We start from the raw sequence: 22,667 nt of genomic DNA on the forward strand, positions 1-22,667 counted from the left end.
AGGCTGGTCTTGAACTCCCTGCCTTAAGTGATCCACCCGCCTCTGCCTCCTATGGGAGAGGATCACAGGCATGAGCCACTGCGCCTGGCCTGGAATTTTCTTGACCATACTTTTTTTTTTTTTTGAGACAGAGTCTCGCTCTGTCACCAGGCTGGAGTTCAGTGACGTGATCTTTGCTCACTGCAACCTCTGCCTCCTGGGTTCAAGTGACTCTCCTGCCTCAGCCTCCCGAGTAGCTGGGACTACAGGCACGTGCCACCATGCCCAGTTAATTTTTGTATTTTTAGTAGAGACGGGGTTTCACCATGTTGGCCAGGATGGTCTTGATCTCTTGACCTCATGATCCCCCGATCCCCCCGCCTCGGCCTCCCAATGTGCTGGGATTACAGGTGTGAGCCACCGTGCCTGGCCTTGACCACACATCTTATGCAGGAGCTTAGAGGGCTGCCCCTCTGTTGGCCCAAGGGTGCCCTGAGCCGGTAACCCGTACTAGGGGCTGCTTGGGACAGACCTTGATGATGTCATCACCCTGCCACCTAGTGGGGTGTCTGGCCTCCTTGGCCTTAGTCACCCCGAGCTGCCCTTCTCCTTTGAGAGCAGGGGGCCTGCTGATGTGGCTGCACCCCCACAGCCTCAGAGGACGGCCCTGAGAGCCTGTGAAGGTGCTGGCCTTGTGCAAGTTACACATCTCCAAGCCTTTGGCAGGAAGGGTCTCCTTAGGAGAAGCTGGGCAGGTTCAGTCCCTGAGTCCTCTGAGCCCCTTTTTCTGCATTATGTCCAGGGATTTCTGTCATTGTAACCATGTTTTAGGGGCTGCCCTGCATGTAGCTTCCAGGAATTTGGCCCAGCAGCAGCCGGACGGACCCTGGGCTGCCAGGCTGGCTCAGTTGATCCAGACACCGTGGGTGCTGCAAAGGACCCAGCTGTTGTCCGGGGCCTGTGTCTCAAAAGCCATCCTACAAGTGTTCTGTGGGGTTTTGTTGACAGAAACTCAGCTTCCCGCTGTTCACAGGTGCCCAGTCATCCCCCTCTGTGCGATTGTGGGTGTGGATGTGTTGGGGCCTGACTCAGGATCAAGGGCTGAGCTGGGCGGGGACTCTTGGGAAGTGGGGCTTGGGGTCCCAGGTTATCGAATTTACCCCATGCCAGTTCTCTGGGCCCCGCACAGCACTGCAGCTCTCCCGCCAGACGTCTGGGGAGGCTGCACCTCCCACCCTGGTGGCTGTTTTGCTGCTGTCTGGGCCCAGCTGTGAATGGCTTTGTATTCCTCCGGCTTTGCAGTGGTGAGAAAGATGTGTGGTCATGGCAGCTCCCACCCGCCCCGTGATGAGCACTCAGGAGCCTGAGCTCATCTTCTCCTCCTTCAGGTGGGCTGGCTATACCTGACGCACCCACCCACCGCAGAGTTCCAGAATGCACCCCTCATGCCTCCCACCCTTCCATGGCAGGGGACAGTCAGTTCCCACAGCCTTCCCTGAGCATGTCACTCCTGGGGACTGCAGGTGCTCAGATGATCACGGGGGGGCCACAGGGTCTGAGCATGCCACCTCATTGTCCCTGAACTCTCATGAGTGCACAGGGACCAACTGTACATGGAACATGCTGCCAGACCCTCTTCTGGAAGGGTCATTGTCTGCAACTTACGCCAGAGATGATGAGAAGGAAACTGGGTCATTTGTAAAACAGACATGTTCAGGTCTGGGTAGGACCCAGGGCATGGCCAGCTAACGCTGCAGGGGCTATATGTTGGGGAACCCTGCTGCAGTGAGACAGCACCTCCACACCGCAGCTTGGGGCCCCAGCCTGTTTTCCCTTCATGATGCCCACGTCGGGCTTGTATCTGTGGACCCTGGCTTCCCCATGGCTGTGGATGAAGGAAAGCGACTCGTCCCCACCTCTGCCCTTGGGAATAGTACTGTGACCTTGCGTGGCTAAAGTATGACAAACGTTCAAATAATTTAAGAAATGGCTGGGCGCGGTGGCTCACGCCTGTAATCCCAGCACTTTGGGAGGCCGAGGAGGGCGGATCATGAGGTCAGGAGATTGAGACCATCCTGGCCAACATGGTGAAACTCCACCTCTGCTAAAAATACAAAAAATTAGCCGGGCGTGATGGTGCGTGCCTGTAATCCCAGCTACTGAGAAGGCTGAGGCAGGAGAATCGCTTGAATCCGGGAGGTGGAGGTTGCAGTGAGCCGAGATCATGCCATTGCACTCCAGCCTGGGCGACAGAGCAAGACTCCATCTCAAGGAAGAAAAAAAAAAAAAAAGAAAGATACTGAGGCTAGGCACAGTGGCTTGTAATCTCAGCACTTTGGGAAGCCAAGGCAGGAGGACTGCTTGAGCCCAGGAGTTCAAGACCAGCCTGGGCAACATAGTGAGACTCCATCTCCACAAAAATCAGAAACTTAGCCAGGTGTGGTGGCGTGCACCTGCAGTCTAAGCACTTTGGGAGCCAAGGCAGGAGGATGGTTTGAGCCCAGAAGGTCGAGGCTGTAGTGATTCATGATTGTACCACTGCACTCCAGCCTGGGAGTCAAAGGGAGAAACCCTGTCTCTAAAATTAAACATAAATAAATAAATAAATAGGCCAGGCATAGTGGCTTGCATCTGTAATCCCAGCACTTTGGGAGACACAGGCAGGCGGAATGCTGGGATTACAGGAGTTCAAGACCGGCCTGGGCACCGTGGTGAAATGCCATCACTACAAAAAATAAAATAAAGAAAAAGAAACTGTTTCCTAGGACTGCGCACTCCCGAAGCTGGCCTCTCCCGAGCCGAGGAGTGGCAGTGGTCAGAGAGGCCCACATGGACTCAGACCCAAGGCTGGGACTGGAGTGAATCATCTGGAGGGCTTGCGTGTCTGCAAGGGCAACGACGCTGGAAGGAGGTGGGAAGTCTTTTGCATGGCTGCATGTCGGGCCTTCTGGGACCCCTAAACACTCTTGTGTGGACGGGAGGATGTCTGTGGGAATCCCAGAGCTGGCACTGAGGAGGAGTCTTCCGAGTGGGCGGAGGGGGATGCCTGCCAGGCCCAAGCCCTCCTGTGGGCAGCCCCTGCAGCACCCCCATTGCCCTGCTCTGTGAGTGGCTGCTGGTGGGGGGGCACAGTGGTCTGCTTGTCTCGGTCTTCTGCACTGCCACTGCCAATGGGAGCTTGGATTAGGCATGCCAGCCTCCTGACGCCCAGAGCCCATGCTCTGCCCACGTGTGTTAGTGGACGGTCCTCGTGACTGCTGGGACTGTCCTGGAGAGCAGCCCAGGACCCCTCACATGGCACAAGATGCTCTTGTGTCCAGAATGGCCTTTATTTGTTGTCAGGGACAGGGGAGGGAAGCTTCTTGGTGGAAGGGAGAGGCTGAAGAATGAACAGCCCCGGGACCACTTTCTCTGCCAGGAGGTGGCACTGGGAGAGGATAGGGACTCCGGAGGGGTGTACCGTCCTCCAGGAAGCCCTCTGCTGGGTCGGCTCCGTGCCTCTGTCTTGGGAAGTGATGGACTTGGTTGCCTTATGCTGACTGGGGTCTGTCACAGATCTTGGTTTTCCCCAGGAGTTCTGGAGGCCCAGAGCCTGGGTGCGGCACCCGGTTCATTGGGGAGGGGCATGGGTCCTGTGCCCTCCTCCTGGCCGGGCTCCACCAGGGCTAAGCTCTCATCTGGGGCTGCGGAAGTGAGCCAGGGTGGGGACAAAGCCCTGGCTGGTGGGTCTGGGCCAGTTCCAGGTACAGGGTCCAGATCCCCCCACTGCAGCAGGAGGGAGCTTCCTGTTCAAAGCCATCTGGCTCTGGGAAGGACAGTGAGGCAGGGCCATCTGCTTCCCCACTCCCTGGGGTCTCTTCCTGGCCGGGACCTGGAGCTGTGCAGCCTGGCCCAGCAGGTCCTCCCTTGCGATGTGTCCACAGGGGTGGGCCTAGGCCTCCAGCTTGCAGTGGTGCAGAGGGCTGGGGAGCAGAGGGGGCCCTGGCAACAGTGGCCAAAAGTCCTGGCGCCGCCGAGGGACTAGATTCCGCAGGGGCTGCCGCCCCCGGCCGCTGTCACTGGGGTGGGGTGGGTGGTTGTTTCTCTGCAGGCCCAGGTGATGTGGAGGGGGCACCTGGGCTGCCACACAGACCCTGGGCTGGGTCGGGCACGGGGCCTGCCTCGCCCCCAGCTCAGGGACCGCAAGAGATGTGGCCCTGGCGGCTCAGGGCGGCAGGAGGGGCGGGCCAGCCCCACCGTCTCAGGATACCGTGCTAGGGGAGGGTTTCCTCGCCAAAGGCCGTCCAGCGGCTGTGACCCCTTCGCCTGGAGCCCCAGCTTCCTCCCGGCGCCGCCCTCCCGCCCCGGCCCCCGCGGAACAAACAAGGCCCTGGCCTCGGAGCTGCCCCGCCGCCCAGCGCTCACAGGTCGTTTATTCCAAGTAAGAAAACGGAGACTGCTCGGGGCAAGCTAGCGGGGCCGAGGCCCAGGACGAGGCCGTACGCGTGTGCCTGCGTGGCCGCCTCTTTTGCAGTGACCACCAACAACGACAGAGGCGGCCCGCTGCACACGCGGGTTCCCGCCCGGACCCACGCCCTTCCCGTGGGGGACGCGGGCGGCATCGCCAGCTTGGCGCGGCCCCGGGACGCGAACGCGTGGCTTCAGCGGCTCCGTCCATGGTGTCCGCCTGCAGGGGGCGCCCCCGCGCCTGCCTCGACCGGCTCGCCCCCGTGCCGCGGACGCGCGCGCGCTGCCTCACGCGACACCCGCCCCGGCCGCCGTCCGTCGTCGCTCGCGTGCGTGCGCGTGCGTGCTGGTGCGGGCGCCGTACGTGCGCGCGCGCGGCGGCCCAGAAAGCGGCGCTGGGACCCTGAGGCGGCCGTGGTTAGGCGGCTCCCCGGCGGCTCCTCCGCGGCGGTGACGGCGACCGCACTCCCCGCTTCCCGCTCCCCGCGCTCCTCCGCCCGGGTCCGCCAGCCGAGGCCGCTCCCGAGCGTCGGAAGATGCCGGCCGTGTCCAAGGGGGACGGGATGCGGGGCCTGGCGGTCTTCATCTCGGATATCCGCAACTGTGAGTGGCGGGGGCGGCGTGGGGCCGGGGCCGGGGCCGCCGGCGGAGACGGGGTCTGGGAGCGGAGGCCCGGGGCGGGGCCTCGAGGCGGGGGTGCAGGCTGGGATGCGGGCGGGGCCCGGGGCCTGAGGGTGCGGGCGGCGCTCGGGGTCTTGGGGTACCGGGTCTGGGGGTGGGGGCCAGGGTGCGGGGTGGGGGTCCAGGGTCTGGGGGTGCGGGCGGCGCTCAGAGTCTTGGGGTATCGGGTATGGGGGTGCGGGTCAGGATGCAGAGCGGGGCCCTGGGTCTGGGGGTGCGGGGTGGGGTGTCCAGGGTCTAGGGGTGCGGGGTCTAGGGGTTTAGGGCACGGCCCTTCATCCACATCTCCACTCCCGTTTGCTGGTCCGTGCGGGGGGCTGCGGCACCACCAAGGGGGTTCCGGGCCAAGACGCCCCTCCCCAGCATGATGTCACCTTGGTCTTTCTAGTACTGGAGCGTTTAACCCAGCGTTTTCCAAAACGGCGTGGATTTTAGCTTTGGGAGCAGAAATCTGGAAATCAGTGTCTTCCCAGGAAACAGCTTTGTGACCTGGGTTCTGGAGGCTTATTAACCCCTGATTAGATCTCACCTACGACGATTAAAATGACTCATTCCCGGAGGGAATCTGGACACGAGCAGCAGTCGGGGTGTGGGATGGCCTCGCTGCCTGCTGCTCCAATCACAGACCTCGTTCTCAGCCCCGTGCCTGTCCCCTCGGGGTGGGAAAAATCCACACCAAACCGTTAAACAAGCCAGGAAGGCTGGGCCTGTTAGAAGGATGTGCAGGGTGGCTGGGTGGGTGCACCGGTCCACCAATTAATTTGACTTTGGTGTGCAGAACCTCCTCTTGGCTTTCAGAGGCCATCTCCTTATTTAATTTGAGGGAGAAACAAAGCCAGTTTCCTGTCTGCTGCGTTGATTTTTTTCCTTGTTATCCAGCAAATAGTTGACTTCATGATTTTTGTTTTTCTTTTTTTTGAGACAGGGTCTTGCTCTGGCTCTCAGGCTGGAGCGCAGTAGTTCCATCACGGCGCACTCAACCTCCCACCTCAAGTGATCCTACCACCTCAGCCTCCGGAGTCACTGGGACTACAAGCGTGCACCACCACCATGCCTGGCTGATTTTCGTGTTTTTTGTAGAGATGGGGGGGTCTCGCCATGTTGCCTAGGCTGGTCTCGAAATCCTGAGCTCAAGTGATCCACCTGTCTTGGCCTCCCAAAGTCCTGGGGTTACTGGCGTGAGCCACGGCACCCTCATAATTTTTAATGTGTATTTTGAGGGACTGTTGTGATCTTCCCTTTGAATTCTCATCTCCTTAGACGGGATGGAGGATCAGGAGGATAGTGGTTCTCCCACACTCTGTGGAAGGGTAGAGGACCATCTAACCCTTCCTGTACTCTGTTAAAAAAAAAAAAAAAAAGCATAGAGCTGGGTGCGGTGGCTCAAACCTATAGTCCCAGCATTTTGGGAGGCTGAGGCAGGTGGATCTTTTGAGCCCAGAAGTTTGAGACCAGCCTGGGCAATGTGGTAACACCCTGTCTCTACAAAAAAATACGAAAATTAGCTGGGCGTATTGGTGTACACATCTATAGTCCCAGCTACTTGGGAGGCTGAGAGAGGAGGATCACTTGACCCCAGGAGGTTAAGGCTGCAGTGAGCTGAGATCGCGCCATACTCCAGCCTGGGTGACAGAGTGAGACCTTTCTCACAAAAAAAAAAAAAAAAAAAAAAAAGGCTTAGAAACACCCTCAGATCAGCACTTTTACGAGTAGCATTTTTTCTCTTTGTTTGTTACATAATGAGACCAACATGCATTTTGTAAAACTAAGTGTGTGTATTATTTCTTAAGGGGACCTCTGGGACAAAGACTGAGTACCCTTAAATGCGCTATGATGTCTGTCCTTCCATTTTTGAAGAAAATTGCGTTAGGCAGGACAATGAGATTGAAAGCCATTTCCTCAGACAGCAAGTCACCCACTTGTCAGATATATTGTCTGTGCCAGGGCCTGCGTTTGACAGGATGGCGCCTACCACAGTGAGTGCGGTATAGCCGTCCTCCCTTATTTGTGGTTTCACCTTCTGAGGTTTCAGTTACCTCTGGTGATCTGAAAATAGGTGAGCATAGTACAATAAGATATTTAAAGAGACCACATTCATATAACTTTTATTACAGTATATCATTACAGTTCTTTTTTATTATTGGCTTCTGTTAATCTCTTACTGTGCCTAATCTGTAAGTTAGACTTTTTCATAGGTATGTGTGGGAAAAAAGCAGCTTGTATAGGATTTAGTATCATCTGAAGTTTCAGGCACCCACTGAGTGCCTTGGAACGTATACCTGTGGATATGGGGAAACTGCTGTACTCTATAAAATACTTGACTATATAGACCAGACTTTCTCCAACTCAGCAGAGCTGACATTTGGGGCTGGATCACACTTTATTGTGGGGAACTGTTCTGTGCCTTTTAGGATGTTTATAGCAGCACCAGTTGCCTTAGTTGTGATAAGGAACAATGTCTCCAGGCATTGACAAATGTGCCCTTAGGGCAAAGTTGTCCGCCGTCGAGAACCACTAGTGTATCCCATTGAATAACACAGCCCCTCCCCTGAAGGAGCTCGTAGAAGAAGGGGTGCTTAGTCCTAGCTGGGGGAGCCAGGTCTCTTTAATACGGCCCCTTTCTCGGAATCCTCTTTCCCTCATTGCTGTTGGATGGCCTCTCATCAGCTGCAGCGCCCACCATTCTCCTCCTGGGCAGTGTCTTCAGCTTGTGGTGCTGCTTTTCACCTGAGTGGCCCCATCTCCCCCACTGCCCTCTAGGGTGGCCTCTACAAGGTGCGCACCCTATCTTGCTCATCACATTTTTCCTGCTGTTCTCCTCATGGCGAGCGTCTGGCATGCGAGGTGCATGCCAGAGAAGACCTCACAAGGAAGGTGATTCTTGGGCAATTCAGGCAGAAGACCAAGAAGGTATTAGAGGAACAGCAAATAATTAATGTATATACGTATTGAGTTAATGAATGTTGGCTGGTGCCTGGAGACGGGATTGGAGAGCCAGCCAGGGTTTGAGCTGATCTGAACTTGACCTCCATGTCACAGGCAGAGGGGTCCCCGCTTCCCCTTTCCCTGGCCAGCTCTGATTTTGTGTGCTGTTTTCCTGTCATGAGAGTGAATGATAGGAGTAGTCGGGCCCTGTGGAAAGAGGACTCTGAGCCAACAGCCAAGGCTCTTGACCCTGACTCTGCCTCTTAGCAGCTGCATGAGTGGAGGCCACTGGCCATGGAGCCTCAGTTTCCACAGCGGACAGTTGAAGGGCTGGATTTTCAGCTGAAATATCATTAAAGCTGCGTGAGTGGAGGCCACTAGCCACGGAGCCTCAGTTTCCTCAGCTGACGCTTGAAGGGGCGGATTTTGAGCTGAAATATCGTTAAAGCCTGTTTCAGCTCCAAATTTGCGTCTTTCTGACCAGTTTCTTAAGTTTTCCTCCTTTAGCCTGGGCAATATAGTGAGACCCCTGTCTTTTCAAAAGAGAAAAAAGAATTAGCCAGGCGTGGTGGCACGCACCTGTGGTCCCAGTTACTCAGTGGGCTGAGGTGAGAGCATTGTCTGAGCCCTGGAGGTTGAGGCTGCCATGAACTCGGATTGCGCCACTGCACTCCAGCCTGGGCAGCCTGAGGAGCAGATTGAGACCCTGCCTCAAAAAAAAAGTTTTTCCCCTCCAAGACCTGGTGCCAGCCGGGTGCGGTGGCTCACGCTTGTAATCCCAGCACTTTGGGAGGCTGAGGTGGGCGGATCACCTGAGGTCAGGAGTTCAAGACCAGCCTAGCCAACATAGGGAAACACTGTTTCCACAAAAATACAAACATTAGCTGGGCGTGGTGGCATGCACCTGTAGTCCCAGCTACTCCGGGGGCTGAGGCGGAAGAATCGCTTGAACCCAGGAGGCGGAGCTTGCAGTGAGCTGAGATTGTGCCATTGCACTCCAGCCTGGGTGACAGAGCGAGACTCTGTCTCAAAAAAAAAAAAAAAAAAAAAAAGCCCTGTGCCAAGTATCTGAGGTAGCGGACAGGGAGCATGTGGACACTAGGATGCTCTGTTTTCACTTCAAGTAACCCACTCCCAGCAGACTGGCTTGGGGCATTACTCCTCTTAGCATAGGCAGCAATGAATATGCTCCAGGATTTGAAAAGGTGCCTCGTGTCAAGCTCTGCCCCTCAAAGTTGTAGCTTTTGTGGCTCAGGTAGTGAACTAACTTAATGTCTCCTAAAATTAACTTCATCCTTTCTGATTGACGTCAACCCAGCGGCCACTGCATTTGGTCAGCATGCATTCAGTGTGTGAGAGTTAATAAACTGTTTCTTTTTTTTTAAATTGGCATTAAAAAAATTCTAGTCCTTTTATTTAGTCCCAGTTTTAGAATTTTTTTTTTTTTGAGACGGAGTTGCGCTCTGTCGCCCAGGCTGGAGTGCAGTGGCGCGATCTCGGCTCACTGCAAGCTCCGCCTCCCGGGTTCACACCATTCTGCTGCCTCAGCCTCCCGAGTAGCTGGGACTACAGGTGCACGCCACCACGCCCGGCTAATTTTTTGTATTTTTAGTAGAGACGGGGTTTCACCGTGTTAGCCAGGATGGTCTCGGTCTCCTGACCTCGTGATCCACCGGCCTCGGCCTCCCAAAGTGCTGGGATTACAGGCGTGAGCCACTGTGCCTGGTGCCCTACCTTTCTTAATGTGGACATCTTGCATAACTACAGGACATATTCAACACCAGGAAACAGACACTGGTACACACCACCAGGCATATTCAGATTTCGTTAGATCGACATGCACGTGTGTGTGTGTGGTTCTATGCAGTTTAGCACCTGTAGCTTTGTGTAACCGGTTCCCTACCTCAGTCAAGATACAGAACTATACCATCATCACAAAGCTACCCCTTATAGCCATACTCCTGAAACTAATCTGTTCTCCATCTCTGTAATTTTGTGGGCTCAAGGATGTCATATAAAGGGAATCACATCATATGTGATCTTTTGAGATTGCTTTTTTCCCCCTCAGTACAGTCCCATCGAGGTCCATTCAGGCTGGTGCATTGATTGACATTGTATTTGAGCAAAAGATACCGAGAAAACAAAATAACTGCTGAAATTGGGGAAACAAGACCATAATTATTTGCTATTTATTCAGTTATTTTGGAACTTTCGTTTGTTTTTACACAAATGACATATCTGCAGAGGAGAGTTGTATCTAACTTAGTGAATGCATGTCTTTATGCATTGCTGTTGACATGCCAACACTAGAATATTGTTGGAGAGACACAGCACTGCTGAAAATGTTGTCAGGCTCTGAGAATTGACTGCAAAACAATCAGGACTGCAAGGAAAGGGAAGAAGTGATAAGTCCTTTTGAGACCGGTCAGTTTGCCAGGAAAACAACTTCAGGCAGGAAATGACCATTTTTATTTCTCTACATGTGGTGCTGGTGTGGTGCAGATGCTTGGAGGCGTTTTCTTTAACCCCCCCAGGTCCTCACATGAAGGGGAAACAGATGGAGAGATGTTATTAGCAAGATGGCAAAAATGAATTTCCATGGTCTTGAAGAAAGTGATACAGTTTTGCTGCAGGTTTCACGATAAATTAGAAAAATTATCAGTGCTCTGCTCATTGTGGTTGGCATAAAACTTGGTCCCTTCCATTTCTTGTTTTTTTTTTTTTTTTTTTGAGGCAGAGTCTCCCTCTGTCACCCAGGCTGGAGTGCAGCGGTGTGATCTCGGCTCACTGCAACCTCTGCCTCCTGGGTCCAAGTGATTCTTGTGCCTCAGCCTCCTGAGTAGCTGGGGCTCCGCCACCACCACGCCCGGCTAATTTTTTGTATTTTTTAGTAGAGACAGGGTTTCACTGTATTAGCCAGGATGATCTCGATCTCCTGACCTCGTGAGCCACCACGCCCGGCCAGGTTCAAGTGATTCTTGTGCCTCAGTCTCCCGAGTAGCTGGGATTACAGGTGTCTGCCACCACGCCTAGCTAATTTTTGTGGAGACGTGGTTTCACCAAGTTGGTCAGGCTGGTCTCGAACTCTTGGCCTCAAGTGATCCACCTGCCTCGGCCTCCCAAAGTGCTGGGATTACAGGCGTGAGCCCCTGTGCCTGGCCATTTCTGTTAACTTTCTTGAAATTAGATACCCTTTGAATTGTGTTTCAGTGGGACTAAAGTTAAATTTTATTTGTTCATGCAATTCCAGTTATGGAGTCATAAATTAGATATGGAGAAACTGAACACTAAATTTTAAACTCTGCTTAAACTTCAGTATAAAAATTAAACATAAAGTTATACTGATTTTCGTGCAGACGAGTGAAGATCAGCATCAGAATTGGTCAGTCTGCTTTTGCATTTCTTAAATAACCTTCACAGTTAAAAGCTCATTTTGTCCTTTTGACTGTACATTCCTAAAAAGTGCTGACTCTTAGAAAAGAATGCTCTCCTTGCATGTCTTCTTTTGCATGCTTCTGCATAATGTGTGTTCCTTAGAAACCAGTTTAGGAAATGTGTCATGGTGGCTATGGAGAGAAGGAAGGAAGTCCTTGCTCGGGTTGAATTTTTCTTGCCAAGGTTGGTGGTCACTGCTTCTGGGACACCCTGGTTCTCTTCACAGTGTTTTCCGTCTGGCTCCTCTGAAGGTCAGGATCACTTTCTTTTATGACAAGTTGAAGTGTCCTGGTGGTGAACATATTTTGTGCCAGATACTTACTATTACTTCTCTTTCCTCTTAAAATGAACTGTTACTTTTGGTAACAATCTGTGTCAAGATTTTGTAGTAGAAGAGTTCCTGGAAAGGCTGTCAGTGAAGGATTAAATGGCATTTCCTTGGCTCTTAAAAAAATCAAATACGCCGGGCGCTGCGGTTCACGCCTGTAATCCCAGCACTTCGGGAGTCCGAGCCAGGTGGATCACCTGAGGTCGGGAGTTCGAGACCAGCCTGACCAACATGGAAAAACATGTCTCTACTAAAAATACAAAATTAGCCAGGTGTGGTGGCACGTGTCTGTAATCCCAGGTACTTGGGAGGCTGAGGCAGGAGAATCACTTGAATTTGGGAGGCGGAGGTTGCAGTAAGCCAAGATTGCGCCACTGCACTATAGCCAGGGCGACAAAGTAAGACTCCGTCTCAAAAACAAACAAACAAAAAACCCCAGAAATGAACAGTTTTTACCAGGCCACATGATGTCCCAGACTTAGATTATAAAACCACATTTGCTGATTCTGGCAGCATGTTCCTTCTTCAGAACCTTCCTGACTTTAGCTTGAAAGCTGAGCTGGTTGAAACGTCTTGAAAAGCAGTATGTGCAGTTTTGTCACGAGAGAATTTCCGGGTGGGTGGGATAGGTTGAGGTGGGTGTTCCCGTGTAGAAGTGGGGGCTGAAGCTGTGTGGTAAGATGAGCTCTGTGCTTGGGACAGGGTTGTAAGGGTCTGGCCAAGACGCATAGAAGAAATAGCATGTGAGTAGGAAGCAGCCCTATTTTAAATAGCGCCCTGGAGACTTGAATTGGGAAGAGGACCAAGAAGAGTGTGAGGCAGTGAGATGCCCAGCACCAGGGTGGGAGAGGCGAGTTCCAGTGACTCGTGGGCACTCAGGAGCGGGGATGACCCCAGAGACACAGGGAGCTTGGAACCATGCTTCTGTATTCAGACATGACTTTCTGCCAGCTTTGCACGCTTTTTCCTGAAACATTGTTGGCAGAGGGGAACTTGTATCTTCTGTTCAGTTGATTCTCGATTTTAAACGTTTGTTGCCTTTTGGAGCCTGCACTTCCCCTTACCTGGTGATTGGAGTGTGGGAATGGTTGGGGGTATCAAGGCTTCAGCAGGCTGGGAAGGTGGCAGGAGCACAGGGTGCCAGGGGTGGGCTGAGGGGCTGGTGGGTGCTCCGGGATTTTAGGAGGAGTGCTGTGCCCACAGCTGCTGTGTGTCCCTGAGGCCAGGGAAGTCCTGACTCCCATGCTAGGTTCTTTCTGCCCCATGTAGCTCCCTCAGCGCCCCCACCCCGATACCTCAGGAAACTCCAGGTCGAAACTCCAGGTCGAGTGGCAGACCTCCTGCTGGGTGCGTTCTTAGGAATAACACTTCTAGCCGGGGGTTTGGGTCAGATCCTGATTCTACTCTCCTTTGTTTCCCACTTTTAAATTTTTTATATTTATATTTAAAATTTAGAGACAGGGTCTCACTATGTTGCCCAGGATGGTCTTGAACTCCTTGGCTCAAGTGATCCTCCCCCATCAGCCTCCCAGAGTGCTGGGATTTATAGGTGTGAGCCACTGCGCCCAGCCCTTTCCCACCTTTTCAAATTGTAGCCCTGTCGAGAGCCTGGAGTCTTCATCTTTGCCTGAAATTCAGACTCCGAGTTGTGATGGTTTTGTGTTCATCTCTGTGCTTGGCTTCAGGATACTCCCCATTTACCTTTCTTCTCACCCACCCTAAGCTTTGGTGTCTGTCTACGGGTTTGCTTAGAAGTGTAGAGACCAACAGCCAACATGGGGTGCCTGGCTTTTGTTTTTGCGTTGTGGGGTGTTTTTCTTACCTTTAAAATCCCTCTGATGGCAGCACAAGGGTGTAATGAGGATTAGTTATTTAGCATATCTAAAGAACTTTGAGCTCCTTAGGGCAGGCGGCACTGTATTAGGATTTATGTTTTGCTTTTTCTGTGGACCGCCTTTGTGTTTCATGTAATGTAGCTGAAATAGCAAGTACGTGTTTCTTTTCTTTTCTTTTTTTTTTTTGGAGATGGAGTCTCATTCTCTCACCCAGGCTGGAGTGCAGTGGCGCAATCTTGGTTAACCGCAGCCTCTGTCTCCTGGGTTCAAGCGATTCTCCTGCCTCAGCCTCCGGAGTAGCTGGGATTACAGGAGCGCACCACCATGCCCGGCTAATTTTTGTATTTTTGGTAGAGATGGGGTTTCACCATTTTTTTTTTTTTGAGACTGAGTCTTCCTCTGTTGCCAGGCTAGAGTGCAGTGGTGCGATCTCTGCTCACTGCAACCTCTGCCTCCCAGGTTCAAGTGATTCTCCTGCCTCAGCCTCCCGAGCAGCTTGGACTACAGATGCGCGCACCACCATGCCCGGCTAATTTTTGTATTTTTTTTAGTAGAGACGGACTTTCACCATGTTGACCAGAATGGTCTTGATCTCTTGACCTTGTGATCCGCTAGCCTCGGCCTCCCAAAATGCTGGGATTACAGGTGTGAGCCACCGCGCCCAGCTGGGGTTTCACCATTTTGGCCAGGCTATTCTCAAACTCCTGACCTCAAGCAATCCACCCACCTCGGCCTCTCAAAGTGCTGGGATTACAGGCATGAGCCACTGTGCCTGGGCGGTTTTGAATTTTTAGTAGAGACAGAGTTTCGCCGTGTTGGCCAGGCTGGTCTTGAACTCCTGACCTCAAGTGATGCGCCTGCCTTGGGCCCCCAAAGTGTTGAGATTACAAGTGTGAGCCACTGTGCCCGGCCAGTTTTTTTTTTTTTTTTTTTTTTGAGATAGAGTCTCGCTGTGTTGCCCAGGCTAGAGTGCAGTGGTGTGATCTCGGCTTACTGCAACCTTCGCCTCCCGGGTTCAAACAATTCTCTGTCTCAGCGTCCTGAGTAGCTGGGATTGCAGGCACCTGGCTAATTTTTTGTATTTTTAGTAGAGACGGAGTTTCACCATCTTGGCCAGGCTGGTCTTGAACTCCCGACCTCGTGATCCACCCGCCTTGGCCTCCCAAAGTGCTGGGAATTACAGGCGTGAGCCACTGCGCCCGGCCTATTCCTTTTTTTTTTTTTTTCCCCCAGGCGGAGTCTTGCTCTGTCTCCCAGGTTGGAGTGCAATGGCACTATCTCGGCTCACTGCAAGCTCTGCCTCCTGGGTTCATGCCATTCTTCTGCCTCAGCCTCCCGAGTAGCTGGGACTACAGGCGCCCACCACCACGCCTGCCTAATTTTTTTTTTTTTTATTTTTAGTAGAGATGGGGTTTCACCGTGTTAGCCAGGATGGTCTCTATCTCCTGACCTCGTGATCTGCCTGCCTCGGCCTCCCAAAGTGCTAGGATTACAGGCGTGAACCACTGCGCCTGGCCTTTTTTTTTTTTTTTTTTTTTTTAAAGATATAGGGTCTTGCTGTCGCCCAGGCTGGAGTGCAGTGGTGTGATCACAGCTCACTGCAGCTTCGACCTCCTGGACTCAAGCAGTCCTCCCATCTCAGCCTCTTGAGTAGCTGGGCCTACAGGACATGCCACCACACCTGGCTAATTTTTTAAATAAATAAATAAATTAGTTATTTATTGACAGGGTCTCATTCGCATTGCCCAGGCTGGAGTGCAATGTTGCAATCATAGCTTACTTCAGCCTTGACTTCCTGGGCTCAGGTGATCCTCTTGCCTCAGCTTCTTGAGTGGCTGGGACCACAGCCACACCTGGCTAATTTTTAAAAAACTTTTTTGTAGAAATGGGGTCTTGCTTTGTAGCCCAGGCTGATAACGAACTCCTAGGCTTGAGTGATCCACCTGCTTCAGCCTCCCAAAGTGCTAGAATTACAGGTGTGAGCCACCACGCCTGGCCTGGTTTATTATTAGATGCTTGACGTTGTGAATTTCACCTTCTTAGAGCAGAATATTTTTGTGTTTCTTTTAATATTCTTGAGCTTGGTTCTGGGAGGAGGCTAAGTACCTTGGGAACAGTGTGATTCCTACAAGGCAGCACCACCGCAGCCTGTAGTCTGGGGCTAGTTTTACCTCACTCGAGGCAGTGTCTTCTCTGAATGCTTCTTGAGGCCGTTGTTTGATGTGGTTTTTCCTCCGGCTGCTGGGCCTGTGCTGCGGCAGGGGCTCTTCTCTCCTCTTTCCTGAGACTCTTCCCTCTGCTCCAGGGAGTTTCCTTTATTTCTATTTAATGTATTTATATTTGTTTATTTATTGAGATGGAGTCTCTGTCGCCCAGGCTGGAGTGCAGTGGCGCGATCTCAGCTCACTGCAACCTCTGCCTCTGGGTTCAAGTGATTCTCCTGCCTCAGCCTCTGAAGTAGCTGGGATTACAGGCGCCCGCCACTATGCCTGCCTAATTTTTGGATCTTGAGTAGAGACGGGGTTTCACTATATTGGCCAGGCTGGTCTCGAACTCCCGACCTTAGGTGATCCGCCCGCTTCGGCCTCCCAAAGTGCTGGGATTACAGGTGTGCGCCACCGTGCCCAGCCTATTGTTATTTACCACTGACCACAGCGCAACACCATTGTCCGTCTCCAGAAAGAGGCCTTCAGTGCCGTGAGCGCATGTCAGATCTCTGCCATCTTCTCAAAGCACACTTTGAACAGTATCTTTTAAAAGTTCACTTTTGGGGCCAGGCAAGGTGGTTCATGCCTGTAATTCCAGCACTTTGGGAGGCTGAGGTGGGAGGATCTCTTGAGCCTAGGAGGTTGAGGCTGCAGCGAGCCACGTTTGCGCCATTGCGCAGCCTGGGCGACAGGATGAGACCCTGTCTCAAAACACCACCACCAAATTCACATTAGCCTACAGTTGGGCAAAACCATCTAACACAAACCCTATGTATAAAAAAGGATTGAATATCTCATGTAATTTATTGAATACTGTATGAAAGTGGAAAACAAGGTGATTGGGCACTTGATGTACGATTTCTACTGAGTGCGTGTTGCTTTCATGCCATTGTAAAGTCAAAAAATCGTTCAGCTTCACCATCACAAATTGGAGACTGTCTATACTTATTTACAGATAAGGAAACTGTGGCGTGGAGAGGTTGTCAGTTAGCCTAAGTCCCGGAGCTCCCGAGAGGTGGAGCTGGAGCTTGAACTGTGTCGGTTTGCCCCTGAGATGCCTGCCTGCCACCTTTCTGCCTCTGATTGCCTGGAGCACCAGGCAGCCAGGTTATGCTTCTGCCTGGAGGGAGCAGTCTCATTTAAAAACAAGAAACAAAACGCATGCTTATTGGTTTGTCTTTCCTGTGACTTCTCTGTGCCCCTTTGCATTTGATGAGTCACTGGGGTGTTGCTTTATGATGGTGACAGACCCTCTGTTGGGGCCTCTCACCTGGGTCGCCTGTGTGCCGGCTGGTGCCGCACGAAGGCCAGCCTTTCCTTACAGATGCTGCCTTGGCTACACCGACCCTCCCTGTGGCTTCTCCCATCGCCTGAAGTCCCCACCAAACCCCTATACGATACTGAGGTTTTAAAGCTTTTGAAATTATGTTTATCCCGTTAACCCCTTGTAGTTTATTTTCTTGTGAGATGGGTCTCCATCATTCCTCGCATCGATTACCAAATATGTTCTAGAACATTTATGAGGTAATGCTTTTTTCTCCTTGCAATGCATCGTCAACTGTATTCTCAAATGTTTGTATGTTTTTTTTTTTTTTTGAGACAGAGTCTCACTCTGTCCCCCAGGCTGGAGTGCAGTGGCGCGATCTTGGCTCACTGCAAGCTCTGCCTCCCGGGTTCACGCCATTCTCCTGCCTCAGCCTCTCGAGTAGCTGGGACTACAGGTGCCCGCCACCACGCCTGGCTAATTTTTGGTATTTTTAGTAGAGACGGGGTTTCACCGTGTTAACCAGGATGGTCTCCATCTCCTGACCTCGTCATCTGCCCGCCTTGGCCTCCTGAAATGCTGGGATTACAGGCATGAGCCGCTGTGCCCGGCCCAAATGTTTGTATGTTTTTACAGACTCCTTCTGTGCTTTCTAGTCTGTTCTATGAAAATGTTGATATGTTTATTTTTAGTTATTAGGAAGTAACTGGGCAGGTCTTCCTAATAGCGTTTATTCTTGTGACTTTCTTGTCTAGGCTTGTCCTTACTTAAATGTTTTAAAAGATTAAAAAAGTTAAAGAATGTAGTTTAAGGCCAGGTGCGGTGGCTCACGCCTGTAATCCTAGCACTTTGGGAGGCCGAGGCGGGTGGATCACGAGGTCAGGAGTTTGAGACCAGCCTGGCCAATATGAAACCCTGTCTCTACTAAAAATATAAAAAAATTCCCTGAGTGTGGTGCTGGGCACCTGTAATCCCAGCTACTTGGGAGGCTGAGGCAGCAGAATCACTCGAACCCGGGAGGTGGAGGTTGCAGTGAGCCGAGATCGCACCATTGCACTCCAGCCTGGTGACAGCAAGACTCTGTCTCAAAAAAAAAAAAAAAAAAAGGTTTAAGAAGTTAATTATAAAACATTGCCCCTGCCTTGCCCACATTTCTAAACCTGAGTGAATTATTTTCATTTTATAGCTGTTTCTTCTTAAAAATTTACTTTAAGAATGATTGCTTTTTAAGTCTAAATTGTGTGTTCCTACTATTTATGGGTGTTCTTTCCCCCATTTAGTCATTACTTATTGACTTTTTTTGAGACGGGGTTTCGCTCTGTTGCCCAGGCTGGAGTACAGTGGTGGGATCTCGGCTCACTGCAACCTCTGCCTCTCAGGTTCAAGTGATTCTCCTGCCTCAGCCTCCCGAGTAGCTGGGCTTACAGGAGCCTGCCACACTCCCGGCTAATTTTTTGTATTTTTATTAGAGACGGAGTTTCACCATGTTGACCAGGCTGGTTTTGAACCCCTGACCTCAACTGATCTGCCCTCCTCGGCCTCCCAAAGTGCTGGGATTACAGGCGTGAGCCACCGTGCCTGGCCTGTTTATTGATGCCTTACTCTAGAAGATGAGTCTTTTAACTCTTGCTCAAGTTTCTCTTCTCCTGTACTTGTATATGTGTAATATTTTACCTGATTAATGTCTATTTCATGTCTGAAAGTACTGTTCTCAGCCGAGAATAACAGTTCAACTTTTGGGTCAGTTTTTAATTTTTTTGAAAGTTAATGATTGCCTTTTGTTTTGCTTACTTTTTTTTTTTTTTTTTTTTTTGAGACAGAGTTTCACTCTGTCACCCAGGCTGTAGTGCAGTGGCGCGATCTCGGCTCACTGTAACCTCTTCTGCCGGGTTCAAGCGATTCTCCTGCCTCAGCCTCCAGAGTAGCTGGAACTACAGGTGTGTGCCACCTGTCTGGTTAATTTTTGTGTTTTTTGTAGAGACGGGGTTTCGCCATGTTGGCCAGGCTGGTCTTGAACTCCTGACCTTAAGTGATCCACCCGCCTTGGCCTCCCAAAGTGCTGGGATTACAGCCGTGAGCCACTGCGCCGGCCCGTGTCTGAAATTTTAAGACGATGTGCCCAAGTGTGGCATTTGGTGGCCTTATTCAATCTGGAAACTTATGTCTTTTGGGCTCTAGTGGAAAATATTCTTGTTGTATTTTGTTGCTAACCTCTTCTGTTTCATTTCACTTTCTCTTTTCTCTGTATTTCTCTATGGTAGTTGAAATTATACCTCCTGGTGTAGATTTTCCTGCCTTTCTGCCTTTCGCGTTCTGTTTCCACGACTCTCAAGTTTGTCCTCTAGCCCTTGTTTTGCATTTTTAATTTCTGCTGTCAGTTTTATAGCTTGAGAGCTTTCTCATGACCCAAGTGCCCCTTTTTTGGTGGCATCTGTTTCTTTAAGCTGTATTTTATCTCGTCTGTGTAAAGGTGTTTCCTTTGGCGTTTCCTTCTGTGCATTGTCTCATTGCTTTGAATGCCTTTTGTGTAGGTTTGTTTGGTCTCTGGCCCATGCTGTGAGGTTCTGAGCTCTCACTTTGTGCTTGGTGGCTGGTGGCTGTCCACCCATGTGTACCAGTGCCTGCCAACCTGAAGGGCTTTGGCAGGGGCCTTCGCTGCAGGGTGAGGTCTGAGGAGGAGCCTGAATGCTGGTTCAGTTCTTCCAGAGGACTCTCGACTCTCTTCTCTTGCTTGGTGAGCAGGTGGGTGTTGTGAGCCCGGCTGCCATCATTCTGGGATGGGGCATCTCACCCCTCGGGGAGTCTGTCACTGCGCTGTGCTGCTCTCACGAGGCCCCTTGCTCCACACTCCGTGGAGCTCGGAGCTTTTGTGTTCTCACTTTTCCAGCTTGTCTTTTTCTGAGATGGGGGCCGAGGGGCCTGCCTGGCTGCAGGGTCTCATGGCAGGGATCTGCTGCTCTCTGTATAGACTTGAAGCCCATCCTCCTGACATCGGTCTCCTGAGGTTCCTTTCATTCCCAAGCCTTTTCGGGTTCTCTGTTCGAGACGGTTTGCTTCTTAATTTGTCTTCCCTCCTGCAGGTAGCTGGGGTGCAGCTTGCTCTCCTTGGCTGAGTCAGTTACTGCTTGACCATTGCTTGGCAATGTCCAGGATTGTGATAACTCTATTGTCCTTGATGACTGATTGTTTCTACACACATGCCCCGGCCCCCATTTATGACTTCTGATATATTCTTGATTTATCACTGCCTGAGAGAAGGCTTTGGGGAGGAATAATTTGACTTTATGTAATTTTTATTTTTTTTAGAGATGGGGTCTTACTATGTTGCCCAGGCTGGTCCTGAACTCCTGGCCTCAAGTGATTCTCTTGTCTCAGCCTCCCAAAGTGCTGGGGTTACAGGCATGAGCCACTGTGGCTGGCTGCTTTCTTATTCTTTTTTTTTTTTGAGATGGAGTCTCACTCTGTTGCCCAGGCTGGAGTGCAGTGGCGTGATCTCGGCTCACTGCAATCTCTGACTCCCAGGTTCAAGCGATTCTCCCACCTCAGCCTCCCAAGTAGCTGGGACTACAGGCATGCACCACCACGCCCGGCTAATTTTTGTATTTTTAGTAGACATGGGGTTTTGCCATGTGGCTAGGCTGGTGTTGAACTCCTGATCTCAAGTGATCTGGTGGCCTTGGCCTCCCAAAGTGGTGGGATTACAAGCATGAACCACCATGCCCGGCCTCTCATGCTTAAATGAAGTAGTAATACCTGACCTTTTATTTTTTATCTATTTATATTTGAGATGGAGTCTCGCTCTGTCACCCAGGCTGGAGTGCAGTAGCGTGATCTTGGCTCACTGCAACCTCCGCCTCCCAGGTTCACTCCATTCTCCTGCCTCAGCCTCCTGAGTAGCTGGGACTACAGGCGCCCACCACCATGCCCGGCTAATTTTTTGTATTTTTAGTAGAGAGGGGGGTTTCACCCTGTTAGCCAGGATGGTCTCGATCTCCTGACCTCGTGATCTGCCCGCCTCGGCTTCCCAAAGTGCTGGGATTACAGGCGTGAGCCACCGCGCTTAGCAATACCTGACCTTTTAGTAAATCAAATTTGGGCAGGTGGTTCTGAGAGCTTGTGTGGCATGTATTTCTCAGTGGAATTTTAAATAGAATGGTGACTCGGCATTTATTCCTTGTCTGAAGTAAGCAAGTAGGAAGGACCTTGTTCCCCATTCAAGGGAATGAACGGTGTGGTATGTACTTTGCAAACCTACGTATGGGATTAGTCTGTAGTGCTCTGAAACCTAGAAATCAAAGGAAAGGCATGGGGCCTTTGACCGACTGACCTTTGTTTCTTGCTGGTAATAGAATATAGTAAATGGAAATTTATCTCAGTAGTTTAGTCAGTAGATTCTGTTATTGGTAATGATGGGTGAGTCCAGGGGAGTTTGGATACTTGAATTTTCCAGAGAGATTTGTTTAAACCCTGAACTGAAATGTTTTTTCTCATGTATTTTTTGATGACTTTAAAAAATAATTTCAGCCTTTATTTTAGATTCTGGGGGTAAATGTGCAGGTTTGTTATGTGGGCATATTGTGTGACACCAAGGCAGTTTATCATGGTGGATGATAAAAGGGGACTCCCTTAGGTCGAGTGTTGCTGAAAGACCTCTCTGCGGAAGTGACATTTCATCTGGGTCCTGAAGCTGCCTGGGACCAGCCTTGTCCCAGCCTGGAGGGGAGAAGGGCTTGAGGTGGTAGAGAGCCAGTTGTGTTTCAGGACCTGAGAGGCTGTACTGTTGGAACTCAGTGAGCGAGGAGAGGAGCTGGCATAAGCCGGATTGCTGGGGGAGGCCAGAACGTGCTGGGCCTTGAAGGCTCCGGCATGAGTCTGATTTTATCCTGGGTGCCTTGTAGGAAGCTGCCAAAGGAAAGCGAGTGAGTAACAGGTCTGATGTAATTATATGACAATATTACACTGTAGCAGGACAAGCCACAGACAAAACCCCTCAGACACCGAGTTAAAGAAGGGCTTTATTCGGCCGGGAGCTTTGGCAAGAGTCAAATCTTCAACAGCCGAGCTCCCCGAATGAGCAATTCCTGTCCCTCTTCAGGGCTCACAACTCTAAGAGGGTCCACGTGAGAGGGTCGTGATCGATTGAGCAAGCAGGGGGTATGTGACTGGGGGCTGCATGCACCTGTAATTAGAACGGAACAGGATGGGACAGGGATTTTCACAGTGCTTTTCTATACAATGTCTGGAATCTATAGATAACATAACTGATTAGGTCAGGGGTCGATCTTTAACTACGAGGCCCAGGGTGTGGCACCGGGCTGTCTGCTTGTGGATTTCATTTCTGCCTTTTAGTTTTTGCTTCTTCTTTCTTTGGAGGCAGAAATTGGGAATAAGACAATGTGAGGGGTGGTCTCCTCCCTTAATGCCAGCTTCTCTGTGGAAAGTAGGTTGGAGGTGAGTGGAAGGTGAAAGCTGCGAAGAGTCCCAACTGGAGATGCAGGTGGCAGCGGAGATGGCGAGAATAGGAGAGTCCGACCGGAGATGCAGGTGGCAGCGGAGATGGCGAGAAT

At 51.4% G+C, this 22,667-nt stretch overlaps 1 protein-coding gene across 9 annotated transcripts in view, besides 4 other annotated features; it reads left to right on the plus strand.

The window, feature by feature from the left end:
* Positions 4,622–5,161: a silencer, noted in NCBI's record as "silent region_3049". NCBI's record gives its function as "represses an Ori minimal core promoter by ATAC-STARR-seq in GM12878 lymphoblastoid cells {active_cell/tissue: GM12878}" and the evidence as "EXISTENCE:reporter gene assay evidence [ECO:0000049][PMID:35858748]".
* AP2A2 (adaptor related protein complex 2 subunit alpha 2) overlaps positions 4,810–22,667 on the plus strand; it is an 86,371-nt gene continuing 68,513 nt past the window's right edge. For 7 of the 9 annotated variants that reach the window (NR_144510.2, NR_144509.2, XM_047426480.1 and 4 more), the window contains exon 1: positions 4,810–5,028. Coding sequence is in view for 3 of the 9 variants with exons in the window: in NM_001242837.2 (NP_001229766.1) it covers positions 4,962–5,028 (67 nt within the window). In the remaining 6 variants the exon portion in view is untranslated. Of the gene's footprint in view, positions 5,029–12,464; positions 12,538–19,674; positions 19,843–22,667 lie in introns of those variants that run through there. The other 2 variants (XM_011519929.2, XM_047426482.1) reach the window with 2 other exon arrangements.
* Positions 16,729–17,641: an enhancer, noted in NCBI's record as "H3K27ac-H3K4me1 hESC enhancer chr11:937789-938701 (GRCh37/hg19 assembly coordinates)". NCBI's record gives its function as "activates a minimal SCP1, AML or CMV promoter by ChIP-STARR-seq in primed H9 embryonic stem cells {active_cell/tissue: H9 hESC(primed)}" and the evidence as "EXISTENCE:reporter gene assay evidence [ECO:0000049][PMID:30033119]".
* Positions 19,549–20,459: an enhancer, noted in NCBI's record as "NANOG-H3K27ac-H3K4me1 hESC enhancer chr11:940609-941519 (GRCh37/hg19 assembly coordinates)". NCBI's record gives its function as "activates a minimal SCP1, AML or CMV promoter by ChIP-STARR-seq in naive H9 embryonic stem cells {active_cell/tissue: H9 hESC(naive)}" and the evidence as "EXISTENCE:reporter gene assay evidence [ECO:0000049][PMID:30033119]".
* Positions 21,937–22,611: an enhancer, noted in NCBI's record as "H3K27ac-H3K4me1 hESC enhancer chr11:942997-943671 (GRCh37/hg19 assembly coordinates)". NCBI's record gives its function as "activates a minimal SCP1, AML or CMV promoter by ChIP-STARR-seq in primed H9 embryonic stem cells {active_cell/tissue: H9 hESC(primed)}" and the evidence as "EXISTENCE:reporter gene assay evidence [ECO:0000049][PMID:30033119]".

This window comes from Homo sapiens, chromosome 11 (genome assembly GCF_000001405.40).
Source record: "Homo sapiens chromosome 11, GRCh38.p14 Primary Assembly".
In the NCBI taxonomy this organism is placed as follows: Eukaryota; Metazoa; Chordata; class Mammalia; order Primates; family Hominidae; genus Homo; species Homo sapiens.